The sequence below is a fragment of the Homo sapiens genome, chromosome 17 (assembly GCF_000001405.40).
Source record: "Homo sapiens chromosome 17, GRCh38.p14 Primary Assembly".
Lineage (NCBI taxonomy): Eukaryota > Metazoa > Chordata > Mammalia > Primates > Hominidae > Homo > Homo sapiens.
The window spans coordinates 63562423-63585573 of NC_000017.11; the positions used below are offsets into that span (position 1 = coordinate 63562423).

At 44.0% G+C, this 23151-nt stretch overlaps 1 protein-coding gene and 1 pseudogene across 2 annotated transcripts in view, besides 1 other annotated feature; one reads left to right on the plus strand and one right to left on the minus strand.

Annotated features, from left to right (window-relative positions):
• The window catches only part of DCAF7 (DDB1 and CUL4 associated factor 7), a 43790-nt gene that overhangs the window by 11946 nt on the left and 8693 nt on the right, over positions 1-23151 (plus strand). For both annotated transcript variants that reach the window (NR_073585.2, NM_005828.5), the window contains exons 2-6: positions 16048-16206; positions 16915-17026; positions 17403-17521; positions 21080-21289; positions 22789-22906. Coding sequence is in view for 1 of the 2 variants with exons in the window: in NM_005828.5 (NP_005819.3) it covers positions 16048-16206; positions 16915-17026; positions 17403-17521; positions 21080-21289; positions 22789-22906 (718 nt within the window). In the remaining variant the exon portion in view is untranslated. The remainder of the gene's footprint in view (positions 1-16047; positions 16207-16914; positions 17027-17402; positions 17522-21079; positions 21290-22788; positions 22907-23151) is intronic.
• Positions 310-530: a silencer, noted in NCBI's record as "fragment chr17:61640093-61640313 (GRCh37/hg19 assembly coordinates)". NCBI's record gives its function as "represses an EF-1alpha promoter that drives an FKBP-Casp9 reporter gene in an ReSE screen in K562 erythroleukemia cells {active_cell/tissue: K562}" and the evidence as "EXISTENCE:reporter gene assay evidence [ECO:0000049][PMID:32094911]".
• Positions 10820-10923, minus strand: RNU6-288P (RNA, U6 small nuclear 288, pseudogene; annotated as a pseudogene).

Genomic DNA, 23151 nt, shown 5'->3' on the forward strand with positions numbered 1-23151 from the left:
GATTGGCAGATTCTATAGTACATACAAATAAAACATTTCTCTGTGAAAGATATGCCATGGACAAAGTCAAAAGACAGCAGAAAATATTTTCTTTTTTTATTTTTTATTTTTTATTTTTTATTATTATTATTATACTTTAAGTTTTAGGGTACATGTGCACAATGTGCAGGTTAGTTACATATGTATACACGTGCCATGCTGGTGCGCTGCACCCACTAACTCGTCATCTAGCATTAGGTATATCTCCCAGTGCTATCCCTCCCCCCTCCCCCCACCCCACAACAGTCCCCAGAGTGTGATGTTCCCCTTCCTGTGTCCGTGTGTTCTCATTGTTCAATTCCCACCTATGAGTGAGAATATGCACAAGAACAAAAAACCAAACACCGCAGAAAATATTTTCTTTTTTTTTTTTTTCTTTTGAGACACTGTCTTGCTCTATGAGCTGGGCTGGAGTACAGTGGCACAATTCACAGCTCACTGCAGCCTCAACCTCTCAGGCTCAAGAGATTCTTCCACCTCAGCCTCCCAAGTTGCTAGAATTACAGACGCACAACACCCTGCCTGGCTAGTTATTTTTATTTTTTGTAGAGATGGGATCTCGCCATATTGCCCAGGCTGGTCTTGAACTCTGGGCTCAAGCAATCCTCCCACCTTAGCTTCCCAAAATAGTGGGATAATGGGCATGAGCCACCAAGCCCTGCCTGGCGGAAAATATTTTCAAAACATGACAGACAATAGTAGCTAATACTCAATGCAATAGAAAAATGGACAAAGGGTATGAATATCTAGTTCATAGGAGAGGAAATGCAAGTGATCAGTAAACAGGAAAAATGCTGAACCTCACAGGTAGTTAAGGGAAATGAGAATTGTGATATCATCTTTCCCTTTTAAATTTATAAAAATTAAGTTATTGCTTCTAGTGCTGTTGACAGTATGGAGAAATGAACACCTTTACATACTGCTGCTAAGAATGTTAGTTGCTACAGTCTATTTGAAAAGTAAGTTGGTGTCTATTAAAATTTAAAATGCACATACTTTCTAATACAGAAATCCCACTGTTAGGACATTGGCCTCCAGAAAAAAATACAGCAGTTCATAAACACATATGTACAAAGGCATATAAATAAGTAGTGGTGGCTGGGCGTGGTGGCTCATGCCTGTAATCCCTGGAGCTCAAGAGTTTGAAATCAGCCTGGGCAACATGGTGAAATCCCATCTCTATAAAACAAAACAAAACAAAAATTTAGCCTAGCATGGTGGTGGGCACCTCTAGTCTCAGCTACTCGGGAGGCTGAGATGGGAGGATCACTTGAACCCAGGAGGTGGAGGTTGCAGTGAGCTGAGATCGTGCCACTGCACTCCAGCTTGGGCGACAGAGTGAGATTCTGTCTCAAATAAATAAATAAATAAATAAATAAATAAATAATAAAAATAAGTAGCGGCAAGTAAGAGAAAACAGTGTACAGCACTGGGGGAATCCCGGTACATAGATTAAAAAAATGATTTGGCTCTTCATATTGCTCTGAGGGATGTCCATTATTTTGTCAAATTAATAGAGATTCATAGCCTTGGCTCTAGAATTTCATTTTTCTAAAAGTTGAGGGAAAACTTTACACTTAATGTATATATGTTTGACCATATAGAAGAATGTAGAAGCAACACACAACAAATTATGTGATATCTTGGGGATGACATAGAGGGATGTTAACTTTATACACACACACACACACACACACACACATACACATATATACACACACACCTGTGTTTTGTTTGATTTTATATGATGTGATACACTTTATAATCCTCTTACAATCTAAAAGTACATTTAAAGAATGTAATAAACCCAATTGGAATGTCATCAAAATAGATAAAACTTGTAAAAATGGACAAGAAAATGTTAGAGGATATAATGGTAAGGGGTTCAGGCTAGAACTCTGGTATCTAAATTCTAGCACTCACCTCTTTTTCCACTGGAGTCTTATCAAGGAAATTATATACAAATAATAGTAGCCAAAGGGGAAACCTAGCATCATTTTATTAATAACCGAACAAGAACCACTAATGTGGTGCTGCTCCCTGGTGAACTAAGTGGGGAAAATGCAGTTTGGCCTTGAAGCCTCAGTGAAACTTTCTGCTTTTCTACCTCTGACTCAAGGACAGACCCAATCTGACCTCTCCTACCCAGTTGTAGGTTCAGAGAAACTGGAGCGGAGGATGGTCAGGCCCATTCTGAGGAGGCCAATTTGCCTGTCCATGTAGGAGCAGGATAAGCCAGAGCCAGAGAGCCATGGGACATGTCTGACTGTAGAGTGGTCAGGCCCATGCACCTGTCTCGGGCTTCAGCCAATCACTTCAGCAATTCTTCCCCCACCGGAGGAGCTAGTGAGTGGTGGGGACAGAAGAGCAGAACTCCCACGCTCAGTATTCCCTCCATGGGGGACTGGGGCAAAAACTCATCCTTCCTATGGGCATAGGCGGAAATGTGGTGTTGGGGGATGAGGAGCTTAAAGAATGAGAGTGCTACTAACAATTTGTAACAGTACAGTCACGAATCTAGATGAGGAGTTGGGCTCAGTGGCTCATGCCTATAATTCCCAGCACTTTGGGAGGACCAAGGTGTCAGGATTGCTTGAGGCCAGTAATTGGAGGCTGTGGTAAGCTATGATCATGCCACTGCGTTCCAGCCTGGGTGAGAGTGAGACCCCATCTCTTAGAAAAAGAGAGAAAGTCCTTACAAATCAATAAGAAAGAGATATCCACAACCCAGTAGAAAAACTGGACAAATGTTCTAAGCTGGTGATTTCCGTGTAATGGTGAAGAGTTTGGGTAGTGGGATGGGACTGCCTGTATTTAAAATAGAGCTTTGTGGCCGGGCATGGTGGCTCACACCTGCAATCCCAGCACTTTGGGAGGCTGAGGTGGGCGGATCACCTGGGGTTGGGAGTTGGAGACCAGCTTGACCACCATGGAGAAACCCCGTCTCTACTAAAAATACAAAAATTAGCTGGGCGTGGTGGTGCATGCCTATAATCCTAGCTACTGAGGCAGGAGAATCACTTGAACCCGGGAGGTAGAAGTTGTGGTGAGCCAAGATCGCACCATTGCACTCCAGCCTGGGCAACAAGAGCAAAACTCTGTCTCAAAAAAATAATAAATAATAATAATAATAAAATGGAGCTTTGTGATATTGGGCAAGATATTTAACTCAACATTCTTTACTGAAAGTGGGAAGAATAATAGTACCTACCTCATGGCAGTATTGAGAGGATTAAATGAGATGATGTGTGTAAAGCATTAATAATGCTTATACTTGGTCCATGTAAGTGCTCAGTTATTAATGATTATTGTTATTCAAAAGTAAAGGTAGTCAATGAACAAATGTACTCAGCCTCTGGCCAGGTGCAGTGGCTCACGCCTGTAATCTCAGCACTTTGGAAGGCCTAGGTAGGCAAATCACTTGAGGTCAGGAGTTCGAGACCAGCCTGATCAACATGGCGAAACCCTGTCTCTACTAAAAATACAAAAATTAGCTGGGCATGGTGGTGTGTACCTATAATCCTAGCTACTCAGGAAACTGAGGCAGGAGAATCGCTTGAACCCAGGAGGCAGAAGTTGCAATGAGCCAAGATTACACCACTGCACTCCAGCCTGGGCAAGAGAGTGAGACTCTGTCTCAAAAACAAAACGAAAATCCCAGCACTTTGGGAGGCCGAGGTGGGCGGACCATGAGGTCAGGAGATCGAGACCATCCTGGCTAACACTGTGAAACCCTGTCTCTACTAAAAATACAAAAAAATTAGCCGGGCGTGGTGGTAGGCGCCTGTAGTCCCAGCTACTCGGGAGGCTGAGGCAGGAGAATGGCGTGAACCTGGGAGGCGGAACTTAGAGTGAGCAGAGATGGCGCCACTGCACACCAGCCTGGGCAAAAGAGCGAGACTCTGTCTCAAAAAAAAAAAAACAACAGTTACACTTATAGAATCTGTCCAATAAAAACATTTGCACACACATACAAAAATAAATGAGTAAGAGTAGTAGTATTAGCAAAAGTAGAGTAGTATTGTATTAGCAAACAATGGTACATAACCAAAACAACTGAATAGTTAAATAAATTATGGTGTGCTTACCATAATCTGCTATAGAAGAATGAGGGAAAGGAGAGCTATTTGTACTGAAGATCTTCTAAGATTATTGTTAAAAGCAAATTGCAGAATACAGCTGACAACGGTGGCTGACACTGGTAATCCCAGCAATATGGGAGGCCAGGGCGGGAGGATTGTTTGAGCCCAGGAGTTCGAGGGAGACCCTATCTCTACAGACAATTCAAAAATTAGCTAGGTGTGGTGTCTGTGTACCTGTGGTCCCAGCTCCTTAAGAGGCTGAAGGATCGCCTGAGCAGGAGGATCGCCTGAGCCTGGGAGGTCAAGGCTGCAGTGAGCTGTGATCATGCCACCGCTCTACAGTTTGGGTGACAGAATGAGACCTTGTCTCAAAAAAAAGTTGCAGAATACATTTTATGATGCAAGTCTATTTAAGCTTTTTTCTTTCTTTCTTTCTTTTTTAAACAGATGAGGTCTCATTATGTTGCCCAGGCTGGTCTCAAACTACTGGGCTCAAGTGATACTCCCTTCTCAGTCTCCCAAAGTGCTGGGATTACAGGTGTGAGCCACTGCACCTAGCACCTATTTATGCTTTTTTAAAAAAAGAAAAAACCACACACAAATACATGGAGAAGTATTTGGAAAGATGCACACCAAATAGCATCAGTAAGGATTTTTGAGGGTCAGTAAGCAGATGGGAGGCTTTACTCTTTTACTCTGTATTATATGCATATTCAGAGAGAACTTATATTTTCTTTCATCATTAAATTTAAATGGATATCTGAACAAAAAAAAATTGAACAACATGAGAGCCAATTGTAATTCCTCTCAATATTTGGTTGGCAACTTGGAGCAGAAGAGCCAGTGTCAGTTTGGCTGAGGCTAAAACACACACTTGTGCAAACACAATGTAGTCTTTGGAAAGAGAAACTAGGCTGTGTGATTAGAACATTCAGGTGGGCCAGGACTGTCTATTGTAAGTAGTACAATCTTGAAATGTTGAAGAAAACACAATCAATTTTGGAAAGAGATGAATTTCTGGTCAGAAATATTATAAAGCACACAACATGCTAAACTCTAGTCGTAGGCAAAGCTTACATTGTTTTGTAACAGTACATGAGATTTTATTTGGCGTCCTTCTTTTTTTTCCCCCCTAAGACAAGGTCTCACTTTGTTGCCCAGGCTGGAGTGCGGTGGCACAATCACAGCTCACTACAGCCTTGACTTTCTGGGTTCGGGTGGTCCTCCCATCTCAGCCTCCTGAGTAACTGGGACTACAGGCCCGTGCAACCACACCTGGCTAATTTTTTTTTACTTCTTACAGAGATGGGATTTTGTCATGTTGCCCAGGCTGGTCTCAAATTCCTCTTGGGCTCAAGTAATCCTCTGGCCTTGGCATCCCAGGGTGTTGGGATTATAGTCATGAGCCACCGCACCCAGCCTGGCATCCTTCTTAAATATAGCATGTACCCTGAAATTTTACCCTGATTTTGTTTTGTTATTGTTTTTGTTTTTTGAGATGGAGTCTCGCTCTGTTGCCCAGGCTGGAGTGCAGTGGCGTGATCTCAGCTCACCATAACCTCCACCTCCTGGGTTCAAGCGATTCTCCTGCCTCAGCCTCCCAAGTAGCTGGGACTACAGGCATGCACCACCTCACCCAGCTAATTTTTGTATTTTTAGTAGAGCCAGGCTGGCCTCGAACTCCTGACCTCAAGTGATCCACCCGCCTCAGCCTCCCAAAGTGCTGGGATTACAAGAGTGAGCCACCGTGCCCAGGTCTGATTTCGGATGTAGAAAGATACATGGTAGAATTGGGCATGCCCTAAGATATTCCAGAGAAGCTTTGCATTTTATTCGGGGTACTATATGTAGAAAGTTCTTAGTCTTTGCTTTGGTTATCAGTTATATTAGGTTAGTGCAAAGGTAATTTGCAGTTTTGGCCATCACTTATGATGGCAAAAAAACACAATTACCTTTGCACCAACCTAACATTAAACTCAGGCGCTTTAAATTTTACACTGAAATACGTTGAAAGCTAGCTTAGTTGATCTCTGTCATTAACAGAAACCATCTCTGTTTTTGTTATTTTCTTGGCTTGATTTAACGTTCGTTGCTCGCAAGAAACAGAAACCCACTCAAGGTAGTTGAAGGAAAGGGAGGTTTTCATTCAAGGGAGTTGGAGAATCGGAAGGCAAGAATGAGCCTCAGGCCTCTCATGGGACTGGACCCGGCCAGTGGAAAGCTGTTGTCTCACACCCTGCCCCACCTCACAATACATGTCTCTTTTCTGCCTCTTTCCTTGCATGCTTGTCATTCTCACTCGCTATGTATGCCAGCTTTCCCTGCAGCTCCATGCACGCTGCGTCTGTGGCCCTTTCCTGCCTTTTGCCTTCCAGGCTAAAACTAGATAGCTTTTGGGTCTTAATTCCAAATGCTTAGGAGTGAATCGGTTAGCTCAGAAGTCCAACCAGTTCAAACACCTGTGTCAATCTAGCACATTAATTCTCAACCTTGGCTATTATTTGATGTCACTGGGAGCTTTAATAGATACCAAAGCCTGTGTCCCATTACCAGAAATTCTGGTTTTAGTGGTCTGGGATGTTACTAAACCTAATTTGTTGGGATATGTTTAAGTTCCCAGAGGATTCTAACATAGAGCTGTGGTCCATGGTTAAGAAGCACTGATCTAGGAGAGAAGAGGGTCATCTTATAGGCGTGGAATGCTCAGATAGTGGGGTCTTGGCCTAGGTAGATTATTCTCCCAAAGATGTCCTCTAGGGTGTCCCCATTTTTGGCTTTAACCTACCAGTCCTCTTTCTTATAGGGTGTGTTGGAATAACCTATGGAGCTCTACTTTAAGGAAAAAAAAAAAAAAAAGCTCATGCCCAGACCTAGTAAATCAGAACCTTCAGAGGGTGGGGACCAAGCAGGCATAGTTTTTAAGCTGCCCTGCAAATTCCAACAGTACCACCAGGCCTGATCTCCAGGCCGTGCACTCTCACATAGCAGCACCATCCACAGTCATGGCTTCATATATACCACTTTGGTGGTTTTTTGTTTTTGTTTTTGTTTTTGTTTAATTCTAAGGTGTCTCAAATCTTGGTCAGATATTTAGGAGCCAATACTATCTGACCTCTGAGTAACAAATGTACCTTTTTATTTTTAAATAGTCTAGATGTCTTTTTGTTTTTGTTTCTGTCTTTGTTTTGAGATGGAGTGTCACTCTGTTGCTCAGGGTGGGGTGCAGTAGTACAATCTTGGCTCACTGCAAATTCTGCCTCCCGGGTTCAAGTGATTCTCCTGCCTCAGCCTTCTGAGAAGCTGGGATTACAGGTGTGCACCACCACGCTTTGCTAATCTTTGTATTTTTTGTAGAGACGGGCTTTCGCCATGTTGGCCAGGCTGGTCTTGAACTTCTGACCTCAGGTAAGCTGCCTGCCTCAACCTCCCAAAGTGCTGGGATTACAGGTGTGAGCCACCACACCCGGTCTAGATGTCTTTTTCCAAGTACTTTGGTAAGAGAAACTGGGAAGCACCAGCTATGTCAAGTGTGTGTACTACAGTGGGTTAAACATTACTGGTGGGGAGGGTGATTCATTACAGGGATGTTGGTCACATCAGCCTAACAGCTGACAGAAATGATAGGAAAGGCAAGGCGTGATGGCTCACACCTCTAATCCCAGCACTTTGGGAGGCCAATGCAGGCAGATTGCTTGAGCTCAGGAGTTCCAGACCAGCCTGGGCAACGCAGCAAAACCCCGTCTCTACAAAATATGGAAAAATTAGCCAGGCGTGGTGGTATGCACCTGTAATCCCAGCTACTCGGGAGGCTGAGGCACAAGAATCGCTTGAACCTGGGAAGCGGAGGTTGCAGTGAGCTGAGATTGCGCCACTGCACTCCAGCCTGGGCAACAGTGAGACTCCGTCTCAAAAAAAAAGAAAAAAAAAGATAGGAAAAATGTTTATTATATTCTTTGCCTCCTAGATACTGGTCCTCTCATATATATCCTTGATAGGGAAGCCTCCTCTTCCCTTGTGAGGGAGGGTGTAGGGAAACAGGCATTTGCATAGTTAGGTGGTAAGAGTGTAAATTGCAAGGCAAGTCAGAAAGTAGTGCTCTGCTCTATAGAGCACTATAACTTACTAGTGCAGAAAAACATTATTAGGATATATATTGAGGCATTGTTTTTCATAGGGAAAATGGGAATTAGTCTAACTGTCTTTTGGGATTAAATACATTGTAATTTGGCTATCTTGTGGAATGCTATACAGTTGTGACAATTAGACAGATTTATTTGTATTGGCACCAGCATGAAAAAGAAAATTGTCATGCAGAATATGATTGGAAAAAATTTTAAAATTTTTTGAAAAGAGAAAAGATGGCCAGGCACGGTGGCTCATGCCTGTAATCCCAGCACTTTGGGAGGCCGAGGCTGGTAGATCACTTGAGGTCAGAAGTTCAAGACCAGCTTGGCCAACATGGCGAAGCCCTGTCTCTACTAAAAATACAAAAATTAGCCAGGTGCGATGGCGGGTGCCTGTAATCCCAGCTACTCAGGAGGCTGAGGCAAGAGAATCACTTGAATCCAGGAAGTGGAGGTTGTAGTGAGCCAAGATCGTGCCACTGCATTGCAGTCTGGGCGAGAAAGTGAGTCTCCGTCTCAAAAAAAAAAAAGAAAAGAAAATTGATATATTGTGTAAAGGAAGTGAGTTGCAGAATAGTATAATTATATTTATGTAAAGAAAATTTGTATCTGTAAATCTGTAGGCAAGATCTGGAAGTAGTTATATCAAACCAAATGGCAATTACTGGTATAGAGGGATGGGGTGGCATTGAAAGAGGGACTTGTACTTTTAATTCTCTATACTTAGTACCTTAATTATTTACAGTTAGTATAAATTACTTCTGTAATGCTTGAAAATACTTAAAAACTATAAAGAACCATGGGAAAAAAGAAAATGAATGGTTATCTTTATGTGGTGGGATTTTAATTTTAATTTTTTGTGTGTGGGGGGGCAGTATTTTTTATAAAGAAGAAGTTTTAATTTTCTAATTGGGGAAAATCATTTTTAAAAATTACGTCAGGACTTGAATTTCATGAGCCTTTTCTGAAAAATGAGGATGGCTTTTTTCTTGAATTCAAATTAAAAATTTAAGTCATTACCTCTTCTGAAAGCATTGATAAGGTCAAGGAAAGATCGAATCTCAGCTATTTCCTGACTTCTCTCTTAGGTTAGGTACTATTTTTCAGAGATTGTCAAACTTTGCTGAAATCACATCACCAGGGGTGATGAATTCCTAAGAATAGAGAGTCCTGGGCCTCACTTGACACTTACTGAATCAGAATCTTAGGCTGGAGTTGAAGGCCTAGGAATGTAAACCTCTTCAGGCAAGTCTGATAGCTAAGTTGGAAAACCATTGCTGTAGGCAGTACAAGCAGAAGTAAGACACAGGCCTATATTTAAGGCATTTACTAAGTGAAATAGCATAAGACAGTAATGTCAGTGCTTTCATGAGGCACTATGGGATTAGTCACCAAACAGATGTTAGAGATAAGCACTGAAAGAAAGAGCACTGGACCAGGAAGACTGTGAATGCCTTATGAAGGAGGCAAGATGTCATAATATTCAAAGCTCATATATTGAGTAAGACAGTTCTATGTAGAGCTGTTACATACAACTCAAGGTAGGTACTGTGAATATCCTCACTTTACAGATTGGGAAACAAGATGAGCAGAGTTAAGTAACATGTCCAAAGTCTTACAGCTAGCAGGTGGTTAAGTGGGGAGCCCTAGAAGCCCAATTCCACTGTGCCGTATTAACATTGGGCAGGATTTGGGTCAGTGGAAAGGATGTATGAGGATTTTACAGGTATAGAGGGAAGTGTAAGGAAAGGGATGGGAAGCAGTGACTAGATAAATGAAGGTGGAATATAAGGTAAGTTAGGGCTGGGTGGTAGAAAGTCTTGTTAGGCTAAGAGGATCCCAAGTGTCAAATGCTCACAAGATTGGATATTTGAAGCTTGGGAGGAAATCTCTGATGACTTGAAAGACATTTTCTCTTCCAGTTGAACTTCACAGTGTTATCTGCAAAGTTAGAGAGGGATTTGGGGTTTCATGCTCCCTGGTGTATCCACAGCACTTAAAACAGTGCCTGACTCCTAAGAGCTGTCTACTAAATACTTCTTGAATGAATATATAAATATCTGGCTCACAATCTACATCAGAGACTTATTCTTTCTTTTTTCTTTGTTTTTCTGAGACAAGGCCTCGCTCTGTTGCCCAGGCTGCAGTGTGGTGGCATGATCTCAGCTCACTGCAACCTCTACCTCCTAGGCTCAAACCATCCTCCCACCTCAGCTTCCCAATTAGCTGGGACTACAGGCATGCGCTACCACACCCGGCTAATTTTTGTATTTTTTGTAGAGATGAAGTTTCACCATGTTGCCCAGTCTAGTCTCGAATTCCTGGGCTCAAGCCATCCACCCTCCTTGGCCTCCCAAAGTGCTGAGACTACAGGTGTGAGCCACCACACCCAGCCTCAGAGGTTTATTCTTTATTCTGCCCAATGAGCCTCAGAATTTAGCCTTTCATGTTTTTGTTGTTGTTGTTGTTGTGTGGGTACATAATAGGTGTATCTATTTTGGTATAGGCATGCAAAACATAATAATCACAACTTGGAAAATTGGGTATCCATTGCCCCAAGCATTTATCCTTTGTGAAAATACAGAACACTTTACAAATTTCCATGTCATCCTTGTGCAGGGACCATGCTAACCTTTGTATAGTTCTGATTTGAGTGTGTGTGCTGCTGAAGCAAGCACTCTCATCTGGGTTTTTTTCCCGTTTCTCCTCCACAAAGGCTGATACCAAAAATTCCACATTTCATCTAGAATCTTCCTTCTTTATGTAATATTTTCTGGCTGGGCGTGGTGGCTTATGCCTGTAATCCCAGCACTTTGGGAGGCCAAGGCGGGTGGATCACCTGAGATCAGGAGCTTGAGAGCAGCCTGACCGACATGGTGAAACCCCATCTCTACGAAAAATACAAAAAAAAAATTAGCAGGGTACAGTGGCATCTGCCTGTAATCCCAGCTACTTGGGAGGCTGAGGCAGGAGAATCGCTTAAACCTGAGAGGCTGAGGTAGCAGTGAACCAAGATTGCGCCATTGCACTCCAGCCTGGGTGACAAGAGTGAAAATCCGTCTCAAAAAAAAAAAAAAAATTATGCAAAGGTGAGAATGTCAACTTTTTAGTTCCATGTAAAAACTGTTCATTTGGTCACAGTCCCTCTTGTGGCCATTCCTGGTTATCCCTTGCCATTCTCACTATCCCTTAATTTTTCCCCTGTTCCCCTCTGGGCTCCCTGCCTCCAGCCACCTCCTTGATCCAGTCTGTCCCGCCCAGCACTACCAGATGTGTGGCCCTCAGAGGCCTTGTAATCATACCACTGTCTTCTCAGACACCTTCATCGGGGGAAGGTGAAGGTTGCTTTTGGTGCCTTCCAGCCTACCCTCAGCACACCTTCCCAGCTGCATCTCCGCTGCACTCCCACGTGGCTCTCTCAAACAGGCCTGCTTGCTGCTATCAAATGGGTCATTTAGTTTGCCACCTTTGTATGTGTGACCCTTCTGTTCTACCTACCTGGGATGCCCTTCCCTTTCCTATTTGCCTACCCAGATCCTTCCTATTCTCCTTTGAAGACTCTGCTCAGATGCTTACTTTTTTCCTCAGGTGCCCCATTTGAATTATTGCTGTTTCCTCTCAATTGTTATCGATTATTATCTGTGTCATAAATAAGAAGCCAATCATGTATTACCTTGTGACATTACTTGCATTGCTATCTTAAGTGTTTTAGGACACTGGGTTTTGTCTCCTTTTACATCTTTATACGTTAACTCCCCTAACAATTATATGATTGTTGAAAGTCTGTGGGTGCTCCATAAAATGAATATTTAGACTTAGTCATATGGATTTTTAAGAGTTAAACATGGATGACAAGATCTATGAATATATGTAGAAAAATCCTTAGGAATCTACAAAAAAGCTACTAAAACTAATAACTAATGTAGCAAAGTTATAGAAGCCAAGATTAATGTACAAAAATCAGTTGTATTTCTATATACAGTACCAATGAACAATTGGAAATGGAATTTAAAACAGTTTCATGGTCAAGCACAGTGGCTCATATGTGTAAGCCCAGCATACTGGGAGGCCAGAGTGGGTGGATCACTTGAGCCCAGGAGTTCAAGACCAGCCTGGGCAACATGGCAAAACCCTGTCTCTACAAAAAATACAAAAATTAGCTGGGTACGGTGGCTTGTACCTGTAGTCCCAGCTACTTGGGAGGCTGAGGTGGTAGGATCAATTGAGCCTAGGAGGTCAAGGCTGTAGTGAGCTGTGATTGAGCCACTACACTCCACCCTGGGTGACAAGCAAGATCCTATCTTAAAAAAAATAAAACACAATTTCATTTATAATAGCATAAAACTTGTGTAGAAATCAAGTTAATGGGCCAGGCGCAGTAGCTCATGCCAATAATCCCAGAACTCTGTCAGGCTGAGATGGGCAGATCACTTGAGGTCAGGAGTTTGAGACCAGCCTGGCCAACATGGTGAAACCCTGTCTCTACTAAAAAATACAAAAAATAAAAATTAAAATTAGCCAGGCGTGGTCACGCACGCCTATAATTCCAGCAACATGGGAGGCTGAGGCAGGAGAATTGCTTGAACCTGGGAAACGGAGGTTTCAGTAAGCGGAGATCATGCCCCTACACTCCAGCTGAGGCGACAGAGCGAGACTCAGTCTCAGAAAAAGAAATAAAGAAATAAAATTAATGAAAGAATCATAAGAAGTACACTGAAAACTTTAAAACATTGCTGAAAGAAATTAAGGCAGCCGGGCGTAGTGGTTCACGCCTGTAATATCAGCACCCTGAGAGGGCGAGACAGGCAGATCACTTGAGGCCAGGAGTTAGCGACCAGCCTAGCCGACATGGCAAAACCCCATCTCTACTAAAAATACAAAAATTGCCTGGGCGTGGTGGTGCGCACCTGTAGTCCCAGCTAAGGCATGAGAATCACTTGAACATGGGAGGCAGAGGTTGCAGTGAGCCAAGATCGTGCCACTGCACTCCAGCTTGGGTGCTAGAGCGAGACTCTGTCTGAAAAAAAAGAACTTAAAAAAGGCGTAAATTAATGGAGAAATGTGCTATGTTTATGCGTTGGAAGACTTAATATTGTAAGATGTCAGTTCTCCCCAGACTGCTCAATAGATTCAACACAATCCCAATCAGAATCTCAGCAGGCTTTTTGTAAAATTCGACAAGCTGATTGTAAAATGTACATGGAAAAGCAAAAGTAGAGAATAGCAAAACAATTTTGAAACAGAAGAACAAAGTTGGAGAACTCACTGTCTGATTTTAGAACTTACTAGAAAGCTACTATAATCAAGACAGTTTGCCTACTAGCAGACAGATAGGCAAATAAATAATGGAACAGAATAGAGTCCAGAAATAGATGAATAAATACATGGTCAACTGATTTTCAATAAAGGGGTCAAGGTAATGCAAAGGAGAAAGAATTCTCAACCAATGATGCTGGAAGAGTCAGACGTTCATATGTAAAAAAGCAAACCTTGTTCGGGAGCTGTAGCTCACGCCTGTAATCCTAGCACTTTGGGAGGCCGAGGCGTGTGGATCACCTGAGGTCAAGAGTTCGAGACTAGACTGGCCAAAATGGTGAAGACCCTTCTCTACTAAAAATATTAAAAAATTAGCCGGGCGTAGTGGCACATGCCTGTAGTCCCAGCTACTTAGGAGGCAGAGAGGTAGGAGAATTGCTTGAACCAAGGAGGTGGAGGTTGCCGTAAGCCAAGACTGTGCCCATTGCACTCCAGCCTGGGTGACAAGAGCAAAACTCCGTCTCAAAAGGAAAAACAACAACAAAAAGCAAACCTTGATTCATATCTTGTACCATATAAAAATTTAACTTGAAATGACTCAGAGACCTAAATATGAAGCCTAAAACTAGAAAACTTTTAGAAGAAAACAGGGAAAAATATTTGGGACCTGGGATTAGGCAAAGATTTCTCAACTAGGACATAAAAAATTTTTTGGGTGCGGTGCTTACGCCTGTAATCCCAGCACTTTGGGAGGCCAAGCCAGGAGGATCACTTGAGCCCAGAAGTTCGAGGCCAGCCTGGGCAACATAAGGAGACCCCATCTCTACAAAAAATTTAGAAATTAGCTGGGTGTGGTGGCACATGCCTGTGGTCCCAGCTACTCAGGAGGCTGAAGCTGGAGGATTGCTTAAGCCCAGGAGGTTGAGCCTGCAGTGAACCACGATTGCACCACTGCACTCGAACCAGTGCAACAGAGTGAGACCCTATCTCAACAACCCAAAATTATACTGCCACATTGCACATAATGCAATATTATTCAGCAGTAAGAAAAGAAGCAACTACTGATACACACAAGAACATGGATGAATCTCAAGAGCAGTGTACTGATGAAAGTAGCCAGACACAAAGACTCAAGACCATCTGATTCTATTTATATCGTATTATGGAGAGACAAAACCATAGATCAGTGGCTACTTGGGGTAGGTATGAGGGGTTGACTGCGGAGGAGCCTGGGAGAGCTTTCTGGGTTAATGGAAATGTTTTATATCTTACTGTGGGGGTTATACAACTGTACATTTGCCAAAACTCATTTAACTGTACACTTGAGTGGGTTTTATTATATGCAACTATACCTAACTTTGGGGGGAAAATGTCTGGAAGATACTGGTGTGTCTGAGACTGAGGTCAGAAAGATGAGTAGAAGGAATTTTATTTTGTGTTGTCTGGTTAGTGCTTTTCCCCTTATTGTGGATGTTTACCAAATATCCCCACTATTCCATCTTCCAGTTGGAAGTTCATAAGCAAATGTACAGTTAGTGTCCCATTGAGCCAGATTGAGTTTGACAGCAAAGATTGGAAGTTAATGGTGGGCTAAAATTGACTCTAAGAAAAAGTGATCAGAGCTAGGTGGGACTTTCTCATCAATGGCGCCGACTTTTTTTTTGCCAGTCACAGTGGTTTGGGCTCTCAAACGGTCATTTGACATACCTTTATGTGTAAACATAATGAGCCAGTGTTGAGTTTGGGGTTGGTGAGGGTTGTGCACTATTGGATTTTTAAGTGAGCATTAGTTTGTTTAATGAAATTGCAAAGGGTGTTTCATATTCCTGGCCCCTGAGCACCAAATGTCCTCAGCACTTCAGTCATTGTGGCAGCCAAGAACCACCCCTGGTCATTTTCAAATACCTTAGGGGTTTCAGGGGAAGGTGTGCCTGGCCTGGCAGATAGTGCACTTATGTAGTTGGAGTCAAGAATGCAGACTTGAGTCAGAAAACCTGTAATCTCTGTCTCCTACTGGCTTTGCAGTGTTGAGTGTAACCACCCCTTTGAGTCTGGGTGTCCTTGTCTGCCAGAGGATGGTTGGACTAGATACCCTCTCATGGCAATCGTTTTTGATTCTGCAGTTTAGTGTAGTACAGTGTCAAGACTTCTGTCACTGGCCAGGCATAGTGACTCATGTCTGTAATCCCAGCACTTTTGGGAGGCTGAGGTGGGAGGATCAGTTGAGCCCAGGAGTTCAAGGCCAGCCTGGGCAACATGTGAGGCCTTGTCTCTACAAAAAATGAACAAAATTAGCTGTGTCTGGTGGTGCATGCCTCTAACCCCAGCTACTTGAGAGGCTGAGGTGGAAGGATCACTTGAGACCAGGAGGTGGAGGCTGCACTGAGCTGTGGTTGCACCACTGCACTCCAGCCTGGGCAACAGAGCAAGATCCTGTCTTTAAAACAAAAAACAAACAAAAAAAACCTCTGTCACTGACCAGGGATCTAATGTATTTGCTGTACTGCTCACAAATGCTTATGTGGCTCAACTTTGGTATGTTACAGGTTCAGCTTGTTGGTTTAGATGAGGAGAGTTCAGAGTTTATTTGCAGAAACACCTTTGACCACCCATACCCCACCACAAAGCTCATGTGGATCCCTGACACAAAAGGCGTCTATCCAGACCTACTGGCAACAAGCGGTGACTATCTCCGTGTGTGGAGGGTAAGCGGATGCTTTATTAGCAGCCAGACAAGTGGGCTTTCTCAGCCTCAGCTGTTAGCAGTGAAAAGTCACAGAACAGACAGGGGTCAGAGGCAGCGAGTGTCATTGCAGCACAGGAGAAGCAAGCGAAGCTTAAATGGACTGGCCTCGTTTGGCTCAGCAGATTTTCTAGTATATCAAGTCAAGATTCCATGAAGTCTGGCTGCTGGCTGCAGTCAGCTCAGTCAACCCGAGGTGATGATGACGGCCTTCAGTGGAGGTGGGAATACTTGGGAACTCATATTCTGTTTGCAGCCAAGGTATTTTTGAGTAAACTAAATGAAATACCAGGCCATTGATTCTGATAAAGTGTGTGAGTGGATCTTGGAGGCTTCCCTCCACCCTCAGCTGAGCTCATCAGCAGCAGCGTCCTCTGTAGCATGGGCGTGGCCTTAGTACACCTGTGCAGAGGTTCCAGGCTGGGCAAAGTGAGAAGACCTCTCCTCTAGGAAGGTGCAGGGATGAAAATGTAGAAAACAAAGCTGGGCAGAGGAGAAAGTATGGGAAAAAGTAGCATTCAGGGAGTCCTGGGTTTATTACTGTTTTTGATAAAAATGTTTTCCCCTCATGTCTTATGTTTGCTAAGATATTTTCTAAACAGGGATTTTTTAAAAGACTTTTTATGAGGATAAGACTGGCTGATTTTTTTTAAAATTCTTGTTCCTTCAGGTTGGTGAAACAGAGACCAGGCTGGAGTGTTTGCTAAACAATAATAAGAACTCTGATTTCTGTGCTCCCCTGACCTCCTTTGACTGGAATGAGGTGGATCCTTATCTTTTAGGTAAGGGAGTTAGGGAGTATGTATTTCAGCTGGAAGAAGCCAAAATAAATTTTCTCAGATGTCACACTGGGCCATACATCCTAGAACAAGGCTCAGTGGGAAGTAGGCTAGGCGTGGAATGTGGTTATTTATTAATTCCTTTGTGTGGGTGAGCTTTCCGTGTGTATAGATCTTGTCTCTCCAGTTAGAATCTAAGGTCCTACGGTGAGGACTGAAGACTTGACTGCCTCGGTGGCTCTGCCGGTAGCCCCCACCTTGTTTTCTGTAGTCTTTATGGTATGCTGCTCCCTGGGCTGAGCAGATGAGTAAACACAAGAGGGAAGCTTGCATGAGAACCTTGGTCCCGTCAGCCCTGACTTGCACTGGTTGTTTGCAGGTACCTCAAGCATTGATACGACATGCACCATCTGGGGGCTGGAGACAGGGCAGGTGTTAGGGCGAGTGAATCTCGTGTCTGGCCACGTGAAGACCCAGCTGATCGCCCATGACAAAGAGGTAAGATGCTTTTCCATTTCGTCTTTCCTCAAATGCTTCCTGTGCCTTCCGCACAGGAAGAGGTCAGCTTGTTCTCTCATTGTTCTGCAATTTATGTAGAAAATCATAACATAACATCTTCTTGTCTAAATTGACAATAGTAATGTATCAAAAACGGGAAAACAACACTATTGTAAACTAATGCTTTTTTTTGGCTAATGTAAATGACCTATTCTACGGTCTGTCATTGTTCTTTTCATGCCAGAGGTTGCTTTTTTTAAATAACAAAGTCTCTTATAGAGGAGCTGGGAACTGATGTGATTAAAAAATAACTTTAGAGTAATACTTATCTTGAAACAGATTAGATTTGGGGAGGAAAGAAGGGAGACAGGAAGAGAAAAAATTTTCTGAGAGACAAACGTAATTATTCATTTTTCTCTATAAATGTTTTACCAAATCCTAGTATGTTCACTTAATCTTTATACTTTCATTACTGTTGGCAGTGGAGGCAATGGAATATATTTTATTTTGATGGCGATGCTTCTGTGTTTATTGGGAAAACTGAGAAGAGCTATTTGTGATTGCTTTTTTTTTTTTTTTTTTTTTTTTTTTTGAGACAAAGTTTTCCTCTTGTTGCCCAGGCTGGAGTGCAATGGCGCAATCTGGGCTCACTGCATCCTCTGCCTTCTGGGTTCAAGCAATTCTCCTGCCTCAGCTTCCGGAGTAGCTGAGATTACAGGTGCCCGCAACCACCCCTGGCTAATTTTTGTATTTTTTAGCAGAGACAGGGTTTCACCATGTTGGCCAGGATTGTCTCGAACTCTCCTGACCTCAGGTGATCCACCCACCTTGGCCTCCCAAAGTGCTGGGATTACAGGCGTGAGCCACTGCGCCCGGCCAATTGCATTTTAATCAAAGCATTCTTCTCAGTGATTTTGGAAAATCCCCATAAGTCTTTTCCTCCTACAGCCATTGCATGCTCCTGGTACTCTCATCTCCTGTGGGTACTATTTCCTGTTCTTTTCTACCTTACCCTGCACAGCTAGGGGTATTAATATCTATACAGATAAAAGGAATGCCTTGATCTTAGGTCAGAAACTTGAGGTTGTCAACAGCATAGGAAGATGTGACCCAGGTTATCATTCTTAGTAAGGGGTTGTCTTTGGCTTTCTGTACTCCTGAAGGTAAGCCCTGTTACAAGACTTCTAGAGTTGACTGCTGCTAAACCAGGGGTCAAATGAAGAGTTTGTCCCACAGAGAGGACCAGTAAGGAACTTCTGGAAACCCTCTTGGCATCAAGTTGAACAAGCGGCTACATTTTAGTTATATGACAACTTAGCCTGCTGTTGTCTGTTAGGTCCAACCCAGAAAATGGGAACTACTCTTAAGTATTTGAACTGCAGGGATTTAATCCAGGGGCTGCTTATACAGAAGATGGTAAAGCTGAGAAGCCACATAGGTAGCAGTGAGGTCATCCATAGAATGGGAGCAGCAGGAAGCTGCAGCTGCCTATAGGCCAGAGGGACCATGGGAGGAGGCAGGGTTCCTGGAGCCCAGGGGCTGGATTTACCTGGCAGAGACGCTTCTAGGAACAGAGAGAGGGGAGGAGAAATACCTTAGCTTTTCCCTGCCTCCCATCATCCATTTTCCCACCAAAGCCTCCCATGGCTGAACCAGCCAGAAGCAGCCAGCAGATCTGAGACCCTGCCAAATGCACGCTGTAGGAATCAGTTCTCTTGTGACACAGAGAAGAAGAGCAGGGAGAAAGGCCAGGAATGGATCTTGACAGCAGACAGGCCTGGACCGGCAGCCTTGTCTTGAAGGAATAAACCTGAGAAAGGATAGTGGCTCTAGAGAAACAGTAATAGCACCTTTCTAGCACCTTTGATTTTTCTCAGTCCACCTTTCTCTAGGAAAAGACTTGTTTGGAAGGCTCTCATTGATACCTGGCAGATCAGTGTAGAAGAGGGTTTAGTGTACTTGGGAGTTGTCACCTTCCCTTGGTTTCCCAGTGAACCATGCTAGCGGAGCACTGAAGGAGCAGTCACTTAGAGCCGAGAGAGCATTACACACTCAGCCACGCTGCCCATGGCACCTGTGGGATCTCTGTCCCTGAGGGTTACCAGGAGCTGTCATTGGGGGGTATACATATTGATAAACATGGCTGTGCCTTAAAGCAGCTGTACAGTACTAGAGAAAGCCTCGATCTGTCAGGCACGTCAGGCCTGAGTGCCTCCTTGTTGATGACTGGCCCGGTCCCTTTTGAACCACTTCTACTTCCTGCCATAGAAAGACAAGCATAATTTCTTCATAGCCAGAAAAAAAAGGAATTCGTGAGGTTAAATAGCAATAGATGCTCATTTGGCAGTGCCCCTCTGTAGGCAGAACTTCAACACTGGAGCTGTAATATTTAGTGAGAAATTCTAGTCGTGTCTCCCCAGAAGTCAGCTGTTATTATCCCCAGAAGATGAGTTTTGTTTGGCATTAGTTTTTCTGTTTCTCTCTCTATTTGTCTGTCTCTGGCTCTCTCTTCGTCCCTCTTCGTCCTCTTTTTTTTTTTTTCTTTAAGACAGAGTTTCGCTCTGTCCCAGGCTGGAGTGCAATGGCCTGATCTCAGCTCACTGTAATCTCCGCCTCCCGGGTTCAAGCGATTCTCCTGCCTTAGCCTCCCATGTAGCTGGGATTACCGGCACCAGACACCACACTCAGCTAATTTTTTTGTATTTTTAGTAGAGATGGGGTTTCACTGGGTTGGCCCGGATGGTCTTGATCTCTTGACCTTGTGATCCGCCCGCCTCAGCCTCCCAAAGTGCTGGGATTACAGGTGTAATCCGCACCCGGCCTTCGTCCTTTCTCTGAAGCTCTCCGTTGCTCTCTGCCTCTGTTTCCTCATAGACGTTAGTGATATGCAATGTTTGCAGCAAATAAAAGCAGAAAACAGTGATTCAGAACCTAAATTGATTCACTTATGATCTCAAACCAACTAGGAGAAGAAAAAACATGTCCTAGGACAAGCGGGTGCTACTAACCTATTTGTGAATACAGGAACATCTAGGCCTCCCGTGACTCAAAATTTCTGTTACCTCTTTCTTGCAAATGAGTCTCAGGTCCAGGTTTCACAGAATCAGCTTGGCTGCTATTAAGTGGCCACAGGAGGGCTGCTTTCACCTCTGTGATTGATGATCTAGGCCTTAATGAGCTCGTAGACCTGCCTCTGATTGTGCACAAGGCCCAGGAAATAAGTGTCTCATTCTTGTTGTGTGGCAGAAGACAGCCACTGTTCTGTTGGTCAGCAGGGCATGTGCCTTTGTTTTATCACGGGTTGGAGGAAGAAGACTTGGAAAGCAGGAATGTGGGAAGAAGCCAGCCAATTTCTATAGCAGAATGATCTTCCATCTTTGGGAAGCCACTGATATTAGAGCTCTCGGGTTTCAGTACTCACAGACACTGTTTGGGCTTCATTTATCTGCTTTTGTGTCATGAGCGAGGTTTAGATGAACTGGACGTGGCAGATTTCCCTCCTATAGGAAGAAGAGGTAATGGATCTGAATCTGACTGGAGCTTCTTGTTCACCAACAGGTCTATGATATTGCATTTAGCCGGGCCGGGGGTGGCAGGGACATGTTTGCCTCTGTGGGTGCTGATGGCTCGGTGCGGATGTTTGACCTCCGCCATCTAGAACACAGCACCATCATTTACGAAGACCCACAGCATCACCCACTGCTTCGCCTCTGCTGGAACAAGCAGGACCCTAACTACCTGGCCACCATGGCCATGGATGGAATGGAGGTGAGCACTCCTCTCAGGCTACCATGGGCCCTGCCTAACTCCAGCACTGCTTAGTATATCTAGAAGGCTGGTTCTCAACTGGAGCAGTTTGGCTCCCGGAGTATCTTTGGGAATGTCTGGAGGCATTTTTGATTGTCACAGCTCTAGAGACGCAGTTGGTACTATGGCATCTAGGGGGTAGAGACCAGGGAGGCTGCTAAATATCCTACAGTGCCCAGGACAGTCCCCCAGCAAAGTATATCCTACCTAAAATGACAGCAGTCCCGGGACTGAGAAAGCCTAATCTGGAATAAGAATTACTTGTTAAGAACTTTTAATTTTTGAAGAGTTGGAGTTAGAGCCAGGAAAAGCAATATCTAAAGAGTAAACCAAATCGTATGTGCCTATGGTGCTGAGTGAAAAAGCAGATTTTCCCTTCTGTAGTCTGGACAGATTCATCTAGCTTTAGCAAACAGATGTAGAAATGGCAGCCCTCTGGCCGGGCGCTCTGGGTCACGCCTGTAATCCCAACACTTTGGGAGGCTGAGGCAGGTGGATCACGAGGTCAAGAGATGGAGACCATCCTGGCCAACATGGCGAAACCTCGTCTCTACTAAAAATACAAAAATTAGCTGGGTGTGGTGGCATACGCCTGTAGTTCCAGCTATTCGGGAGGCTGAGGCAAGAGAATTGTTTGAACCTGGTAGGCAGAGGTTGCAGTGAGCCAAGATCGTGCCATTGCACTCAAGCCTGGGAGATAGAGCAAGACTCCATCTGAAAAAAAAAAAAGGCCAGGCACGGTGGCTCACACCTGTAATCCCAGCACTTTGGGAGGCCAAGGTGGGCGGATCACAGGTCAGGAGATCAAGACCATCCTAGCTAACACGGTGAAACCCCGTCTCTGCTAAAAAAATACAAAAAATTAGCCGGGCGTGGTGTCAGGCACCTGTAGTCCCAGCTACTCGGGAGGCTGAGGCAGGAGAATAGCTTGAACCTGGGAAGCGGAGCTTGCAGTGAGCGGAGATCATGCCACTGCACTCCAGCCTGGTGACAGGGCATGCTCTGTCTCAAAAAAAAAGAAAAACAAATGGCAGCTCTCTCTAGTCTGTTACTTGATTAAAGAGGTGAATTGTGGGTGGGGAGAATGCATTGGTTGTCCTTGGTTTGGTGGCGCTAGCACCTCAGATTCTGCTTTGGCTGGGCTCTCATTCCATTCATCTGAGATGCATAGAATTCTTACCACATGCACCTGCTGGGACCCAGGATTACCCAGACTCCTGTTGTCTGTTTCTGCATCTCCCCTATCAGTCTAAAGGCCCAGTGTTGCTCAAGATAGAGACTATCAACTACCCGTGTCCTTTGTCTTCTTTTCCCTCAATCCTATGGAAATCCTGTCTCTAGTTCTTTAAATCCACAAATGAAAAATTATGCCTAAAAAGATTTTTGCATGTGGATAGTATTTTTTGTTTTTTTCTATGAAACTCTGATGATCCCAGGCCTTTTACTTGTTATTTCCGCAGGTGGTGATTCTAGATGTCCGGGTTCCCTGCACACCTGTCGCCAGGTTAAACAACCATCGAGCATGTGTCAATGGCATTGCTTGGGCCCCACATTCATCCTGCCACATCTGCACTGCAGGTAATCATGGTGGGGAGAAAGAAATCTGGGAAGGATGGAGGAAATCTGTTCTCTTGGCTCCTTAGAATTGTAGTTGTTACTGTTTTCTAAGCACAGTCTTGAGAGATTTATACAAAATGACTAGTTGGAGCCTCTCCACACTTGTGAAATTCAATCAGTACAAATTTTTAGACGATCTTGTACCCTCATGGACATCAGAACATCTTCCATATATGATTTACATCATGTGTCAGTTATAGGGCTGT